Raw genomic sequence first — 8205 nt, 5'->3', positions numbered from 1 at the left:
AGCTCACTGCAGCCTTGACCTGCTGTATTCAAGCGATCCTCCTGCCTCAGCTTCCTGAATAGCCAGGAAGACAGGTGCGTGCCACCATGGCTGGCTAATTTCTATTTTTTGTAGAGATGGGGTCTTTCTTTGTTGCCCAGGTTGGTCTCAAAACCCTGGGTGCAAGTGATCCTCCTGCCTTGGCCTCCCAAAGTGTTGTGTTTACAGGCACTTGAACCCAGAAAATCTGAGACAGGTCTCAGTTAATTTAGAAAGTTTATTTTGCCAAGGTTGAGAATGCGCCCGTGACACAGCCTCAGGAAGTCCTGACAACATTTCCCCTAAGTAGCTGGGGCACAGCCTGGTTTTATACATTTTAGGGAGGTATGAGACCTCTGTCAGGCTTCTGAGCCCAAGCCTGCACTTATACATCCAGATGGCCTGAGGCAACTGAAGAACCACAAAAAGAAGTGAAAATAGCCAGTTCCTACCTTTACTGATGACATTACCTTGTGACATTCCTTCTCCTGGACAATATGTCTCCAGCTCTCCCCACCAAGCACCTTGTGACCCCTGCCCCCACCTGCAAGAGAATAACCCCCTTTAACTGTCATTTTCCACTACCTACCTAAATCCTATAAAACTGCCCCCACCCCTATCTCCCTTTGCTGACTCCTTTTTCCGACTCACTCCGCCTGCACCCAGGCGATTAAAAAGCTTTATTGCTCACACAAAGCCTGTTTGGTGGTCTCTTCACACAGACACCGTGACAACATCAATCATTATATGTAAGAAGTAATTGGTTTAGTCTGGAAAGGGGGTGACAACTTGAAGCAAAGGCAGGAAGACTCGAAGTGTGGGGGGAACTTCCAGGTCACAAATAGGTGAGACACAAATGGTTGCATTCTTTTGAGTTTCTGATGAGCTTTTCGAAGGAAGGCCATCAGATACGCATCTATCTTAGTGAGGGGAGGGATAACTTGGAATAGAATGGGAGGCAGGTTTGCCCTGAGCAGTTTCCAGCTGGAGTTTCCCTTAGTGATTTTGGAGGCCCAAGATATTTTCCTTTCACATTTCACCCTTTTTCTTTTTTAAAATCTTTTGGAGAAATGATTTTACAAAAAAACAAACAAACAAACAAAAAACAAAACAGACTCTCTGGTTTCAGATTTCATCTGATCTTTCATTGCTAGGATGGTTTACTCCTAGATGGGTAGGTCCCGAAAGTTCATTTTAGCAGGTTGTGAAGTCTCCTGTCCTGTGAAAAGAAAATTAGGGGGAGGAAGGGGGAAAAAGCTACAAACAAAAGAACAATCCTGGAAAAATTGATATAGGCCAATTACTCGGAAGTCCATACATTAGTAAGTAGGTATGAAAGTAGCTTATGTATGTAAATTGGTTGCTGTTATTTTCTTCTTAAGTTTAAATTGTCTGGCTTCAGTTCTCATGGTTTGAAGAAAGCACAGCTTAGATTTTAGTGACTCCAAATTAGGAAAACTGGAAAAAAAAATGAAAACATCATTTTGAAGACTTGCAGCCAAGAAAAATTAGAATTTGGTCCAAACTGTAGAAAATAATAAAAATGGAAAAGAAAACATTAGGCAAGACTAGAATTTAACACGTGTACTATCGTTTTGAAACACAATTTTTTTCTCTCTCCAGTTTCCCATGTTATTAAAGACAAATCATGGTAGCACTGGTTTGCTTATTATACTTGGCCTAATTATTTGTATATAGTGCAGCATGAATAATTATTTTTTACATAGTTTTTTAAATTGGCTTTGATGGAACTCTGTTCCATAGAAGCAATCTCAGATAAGACTTTTTAAAAGCCAAGCCCAGTCATGGATTTGTGCCATCAAATACTTACGAGTTTCGTGAATTTCCTCTCGAGGTTCCAAGTTTATCCTGGGGGTACTGTGCCTGTCAGAAAGTGACATTCTGTTTTTACCACAGGTCAGAAACCCTGTACAGGGACTGTGTACACAAAATTTGAGGCCAGTTTTTCCAAGGGCTTTATTGGCTCCGTAAGTCAAGTTTGATTCTTTAAAGGAAAGCACATCATTCCAGTCAAAGCCTTGGTAAAATAACCAGTTTCTCCAATTGTGTCCTGTCACAAATGAAAACAGATTCCTATTGCACTTACGCAAATAACTGTATTGCCATAAGTTAAGAATATACACAAATAGTTTCCAAATTCCAGAGAAATCAGTTAGAAACAAATATGCTCCAAATTTTGTTCATGGGAGTATACTAAATTGTTACAAGCTGTCAGTAGCTCAAAAGAAATGTTTTAAGAGTCTGAAAAACAAAACAAAGGATCAGTAAACATTTTAAGCAAAAAGTCAAAAGGATTGGTTTAGTCCATGCAGTTAATTCCTGTGTTTTGCTTGATACTCATGAATATTTTAGCTCTCCATGAGTTCTGAAAGTTTTTCCTGCATTCTGATATCACAATCTACAAAGTTATTAGAAACGTGCATTTAAAAGCACCTGTTGAAGTTTTATAGCTGATTATAAAACCACCCTCTAAAGAGGAACAAAACAAGACAACAATTGTCCATGGATGAAAAAGAAGTTTTAAGACAGCCATAGTCAAAAAACACAATTGACAAGAAAATTTATCTCTGTGGCACACAATGATTATAACAATTATGATTATTACTGATAAGGTACACTAAGGTATATCAGAATTACAGGAGTTTCCCATAATTTTGGAACACATATCAATAACATATTTATACAAATACAGCCCTAAGAAAACTAAATACCACTTTATATTTGACAATGCTTCCTGTATAATTTTTATACCAAATAAGCCAAATTATGTCATTTTTTGGACTTTAGGGAACCTAATGTCTTAAAGGATTAATTAGATTAGAAAAAGACATAATTGATAATTTGATTTTAGAAAGTTTGTCATATATCAAAGGTTTAAAACACTTGATATTACAAAATAGGATTACAGGTCATTGTGAAGTCATTTATTTAACCAAAGTGATAATTCAAGTATTAAAAAAAAAAAGTGAAAACCTTCATTCTTTGTGAGAAGAGACTTAATTTTCTAAACAAGAAGCCCTAATAAAAACAGCATGAAGCCAATTACATTTGTTCAAAATTTTGTAAACAGTCTATAAAATTTAATCTTCATTATAAAATATAACTTCCACAAGCCTTTTATAACCTTTATAACCTTTATTAAGGAGTTGGTTAATGCTTCTAGAAAATCTTGTTAATCTGACACAGGGATCCGTATACTAGTTTTGCATCAGTGTGCCTTTGACACTAATGGTTAATTTATAGAGAAACTAAACTTATTTTAACTTTCAAAATCGGCCCTTACGATCTTATGGGCCCACCTCTTTCACAGTAGTCCCTGGGCCTTGAGGTGTTGAATAGCTTTAATTTCTTGCCCTGTATCTCAGGCATGCAGTTTATTTTGATTGGCATCTTGTACGGGGCCTGAAGATAAGGCTTTAATTGCTATCAGTGTTTAAGATTTAGCAGGACTTGATGTCCTTTTCAAACCCAGGAGTTAAAGCCCTGTAACTCAATGTTAACAAGGACTTTAAAAGCATATACAGGGGCCAGGTGCGGTGGCTCACGCCTGTAATCCCAGCACTTTGGGAGGCTGAGGCCGGCAGATCACCTGAGGTCAGGAGTTTAAAACCAGCCTGGCCAACATGGTGAAACCCTGTCTCCACTAAAAATACAAAAATTAGCCAGAAATGGTGGCGGAGACCTGTAGTCCCAGCTACTCTGGAGGCCGAGGCAGGAGAACTGCTTGAACCTGGGAGGAGGAAGTTGCAGTGAGCCAAAATTGTACCAATGCATTCCAGCCTGGGTGATAAGAGCAAGAAGATACATGGATGTAATAAACTTAATTAAAAAAAAAATTATCACTGAAACTTCTTTTATTGGAAAATTCCCAAATATGAAATATCTATTATTTAATTTAATACAACTTTATATTCTAAATTATGACCAGTTTGTCTACAAGTATTTATCCCATTACATTTACGTAATTATTTATTTTAATAGTTTACCTAGATTATTTATGAAAACTGTGATAGTCATGATTTAAAGTTATGAAACCACCATTGCAAAATTATAACTGAGACCGTGAAAAAATTTTGACTTGACTCCATCTTGCTGTTAACCTTCAAGCTGTCCTTGTTCATTCCTGAACACAGGCCAAGCTAATTTTGGGAAAAACTTAGTTTATAGTTTAGCTTTGAAACAAAGACGATAACAGTTCTTTCCCAAAACAAACCTCTTTATTGTCTGTGGACTAGACTGCCTAAAGCCACAGGATTAGAAGTTATGATAATCTTACTAAATTTGAGATACAGCTATTTTCATTAAACGCATATCAATGTCTCACTTATTAAAAATTACACAAGCAAAGATCATTCTGTTTGGGGCTGGGTTTACAGTTTTGTAACCCATGCCAAATTTTGACACCTCATAGTATTTGGCAAGGATAAGTATGAAACTGCTTGATTAATAAATGCAAACAAAAATGTGTGCTGGCAATTCTTAAGACACTTATAATATTACTTTACCAATAATTTTAAAGCCAGCTTATTTATTAAAGATTTTACTTAAGTTATATAACCTTTAAAAGCATGTGACTAGTCTTTTTTGGTATTTGATTTAAGCACTTTTTTTTAAAGCCAATTAATTAGAGCTCTTTTGTGTATTTTTACTAGTGAAACATTGTGTACACAACACCTAAAAACATATAAAGACGTATTAGGCATGCCGATGGAGGTACATTTTATAGATTTATAACCCCACCCCCTTTTTCCTATTATAGACTTTCAGATTCTTGATAATGTGTTTTACAACCCTAGGTAGTTGTCAGCTAAATAGCCTTAAGTTTGCACATTAAAGGAAACAACTCAGATGAAAATCAAATAGCAAAATTTACATCATAAGGTATAGAGAGAATAAGTCTGGTGGTACTAGAGGGAGACACTTTCATTTTTATTTGAGTCAAATTAAACTACACTCTTCCTTAAAAACCCGAGTAAACTCTGTTTCAATAACTATGTTAGTCAAACAATCAGGTGACGACAGAACTCGTTCAACTGAGAAGATAAAGAAAAAAAAAAACTTTTGCTCAAAAAAAGACAAAATCTTAGGAGAGAAAAACAAAAAAAACCCCTCAAAACATGAAGGCCTTTCAAATACAAACACGTACACATACACACAAACACACACACACACGCACAAACACACATATACACATATGCATACACACAAACGTGTACACATACAAACACATACACACAAACACACAAACGTACACATACAAACACACAAACGTACACATACATTCACACAAACATGTACACATACACACAAACATGAACACATACACACAAACATGAACACATACACACACACATCTTGGCTGTTAGCCTTTTCATTAAGCTGACTTTTAATCATGGAGCTCCTTACACAAATTTGTTTTTTAAATCTTATTACCATATTTCAGCTAGGACAAAATGCTGCTATTTCAGAAGTACAGCCATTGCTCTTTCAGTTTGGTCTGGCTGGCAAAAAGGTGGCCTTGTTATGTAAATAAAGCCCCTTTTGTAGTTAAAATTAAAAATCTTTTTTTTCCTTTTGATGGCCATTTTCCTCCCACTTCAGAGACCCTGTTCCCCATAATTTAGGGTTCCCCTTCAGATTTGACCAAGACAGAAAGAAAAAACAAAACCATTAAGCAAAACTAACAATGATCACACAAATTATATGATTTCTGAGTGCTGTAAGTGTAAGCAGACATTAACACCAGCTGGTTGTTAAATACTAACTTTTGTTGTTTAAAATAATTGGCAAGATGGAATCCCAAACCAGTTTCTTACTTAGTCATGGGTCTCAAGCTGTAGACTGCTCTCTACCATGCTAGAAGCAGGAAAAAAACAAACAAAACAAAACTTATCTTCCCTGTTGGAAGTGAGCTCAAGGTCCATAAAGGAGGTACCTGTCTTCCATCGACATGGAAGCAGGAAAACTTGCCTTCCTGTTGGAAGCAAGTAAAGTCCCCCCAAAAAGGAGTTGTACAGAAAAATAAACTTTAGATCTCAACCAAATTTTGGGAGATCAGGGATTCTCTGGAGGGTGCTCTCAGACCTCAGCAAATTGTCCTATTGGTTTGAGCTATAAAGTTAGCTCATGCTGGTACTAGGCACCAAAAGGAGATTTGTCAAAGGTGAGGGGCATCTCCACTCAGAATCCCTTCATGGTTACCAAAATGTGAACCCAGAAAATCAGAGACAGATCTCAGTTAATTTAGAAAGTTTTTATTTTGCCACGGTTGAGGACACACCTGTTACTCAGCCTCAGGACATCCTGATGACACGTGCCCAAGGTGGTCGGGCATAGCTTGGTTTTATACATTTTAGGGAGACATGAGACATCAATCAATATAAGAAGTACATTGATTCGGTCTGGAAAGGTGGGGCAGCTTGAAGCAAAGGCAGGAAGCCTCCAAGCAGGGAGGGAACTTCCAGGTCGCAGATAGGTGAGAGACAAACGGTTGCATTCTTTTGAGTTTCTGATTAGTCTTTCCAATGGAGGCAATCAGATATGCATCTATCTTAATGAGCAGAGGGATAACTTTGAATAGAATGGGAAGCAGGTTTGCCCTAAGCAGTTCCCAGCTTGAGTTTTCCTTAGTGATTTTGGGGGCCCAAGATATTTTCCTTTCACAGGTGTGACCCGACACTCCTGGCCTACATCCTTGACTGAAAGAAGTGCTGCATCACGGAACAAACGCTAAGGTGATTATTAGGTCTCTCACCCTCTCCTTTTCTCATTCTTACTCTTTCTCTCTCACTTTCACTCTAGCTTTCCCTCTCTCTGCCTCTCTCCCATTCCCTCCACTGGACCCTTGAACTTAGGGATAAGCTGTTAATAGTCCCCTACTATTGTACCTGTATTTCTCTACAAGTTGCCTAGCTAGATCTTTGGGAAAAGTCCCTTCGGTTTTTTTTGTTTTTGTTTTTTTTTTGAGACAGAGTCTCACTCTTGTCACCCAGGCTGGAGTGCAGTGGTGCGATCTCAGCTCACTGCAACCACTGCCTCCCGGGTTCAAGCGATTCTTCTGCCTCAGCCTCCCCAGTAGCTGGGACTACAGGCGCCTGCCACCACGCCCAGCTAATTTTTTGTATTTTTAGTAGTAACGGGGTTTCACCATGTTAGCCAGGATGGTCTTGATCTCCTGACCTCATGATCCGCCCGCCTTGACCTCCCAAAGTGTTGGGATTACAGGTGTGAGCCACCGTGCCTGGCTGAAAAGTCCCTCCTTTAATCCCTTCTTAAATTCCCTCATTGGAGCAGGCCATCATTCCTGCCAGGACTCTAGGTTTCTATAGACTGGTTGGAACACTTTTGCAAATGCTTCTCCTCTTTCATGATAAAGTCACTGATTTTGGGGGTGGACTTAAAGTAGTTCACGCATTGGAGATGCACTACTTGCCGGTTTTGATGTTGAAGTTGTTGTTTTGTTTGTTGTTTGTTGGGTATGCGGGTGTTACACGAGGATCTTTATGAAGCTTTTCCTGAGGGACTTGAGTTCCAAACCTTTTGTGGCACCCTCCACACATCAGACATAGACAAAATGATGCAGGAAAAGTAGAATGGGAAAATTGGCCTTTGCTCCATCGGACCCTGTGGAAAGCTGGCTATATTCCTTGACAGATGTGCAAATTAGTGAGTAAAACTTGCCTTTGACTCTCTTCAGTGGTCTCTGACATTATCCGTTTTTGCTTTCCAAAGTGACAAAAGTTCTCAACTTGAGAGTGACAAATAGCTGTGTGTTTTTGCAAAACACCTGAGTGAGCGAGGATGAAAATTCTCTAATCATGGAAGACATCTTTTTCAAGGCAGAGAATTTGACAACTCTTTGATGTGCATCAACAAAAGTGGTTAACTGCGGTATGCTAATGAGAATGCCGGGTGCCCATACCCCCATGTTTGCCTTCTCACTCCTTCTCTGTTGTTTTGTTTTTGGTGCTAAGACCTTTTCTCAGCTATTCTTTAAGGGGATGCCTTTCCATTAAACACACGCAATTTTCAGCTGGCTTATATAATTAGCCTGCACTGGTATTCTGTTTGGCAAAGGTCTAGAGAGAGCAGGCATGAATTGCCTGTTGTTATAAAAGTGTTGTTTTGCACACAGGAGACTAATTTTTCGGTTGTATTGTCTATGGT

The 8205-nt window shown here is 38.6% G+C and overlaps 1 protein-coding gene across 6 annotated transcripts in view; it reads left to right on the top strand.

Moving 5' to 3' along the window:
- The window catches only part of ST8SIA6 (ST8 alpha-N-acetyl-neuraminide alpha-2,8-sialyltransferase 6), a 139175-nt gene that overhangs the window by 68466 nt on the left and 62504 nt on the right, over window positions 1-8205 (top strand). Inside the window, exon 4 of one of the 6 annotated variants that reach the window (NM_001345961.2) lies at window positions 6705-6773. The exons of the other annotated variants lie outside the window; for them this stretch is intronic. The gene's annotated coding sequence lies outside the window, so the exon portion shown is untranslated. The remainder of the gene's footprint in view (window positions 1-6704; window positions 6774-8205) is intronic. 6 annotated transcript variants of the gene reach the window in all.

Source organism: Homo sapiens, chromosome 10, assembly GCF_000001405.40.
Source record: "Homo sapiens chromosome 10, GRCh38.p14 Primary Assembly".
In the NCBI taxonomy this organism is placed as follows: Eukaryota; Metazoa; Chordata; class Mammalia; order Primates; family Hominidae; genus Homo; species Homo sapiens.
This window is presented reverse-complemented; position numbering and strand designations above follow the sequence as displayed.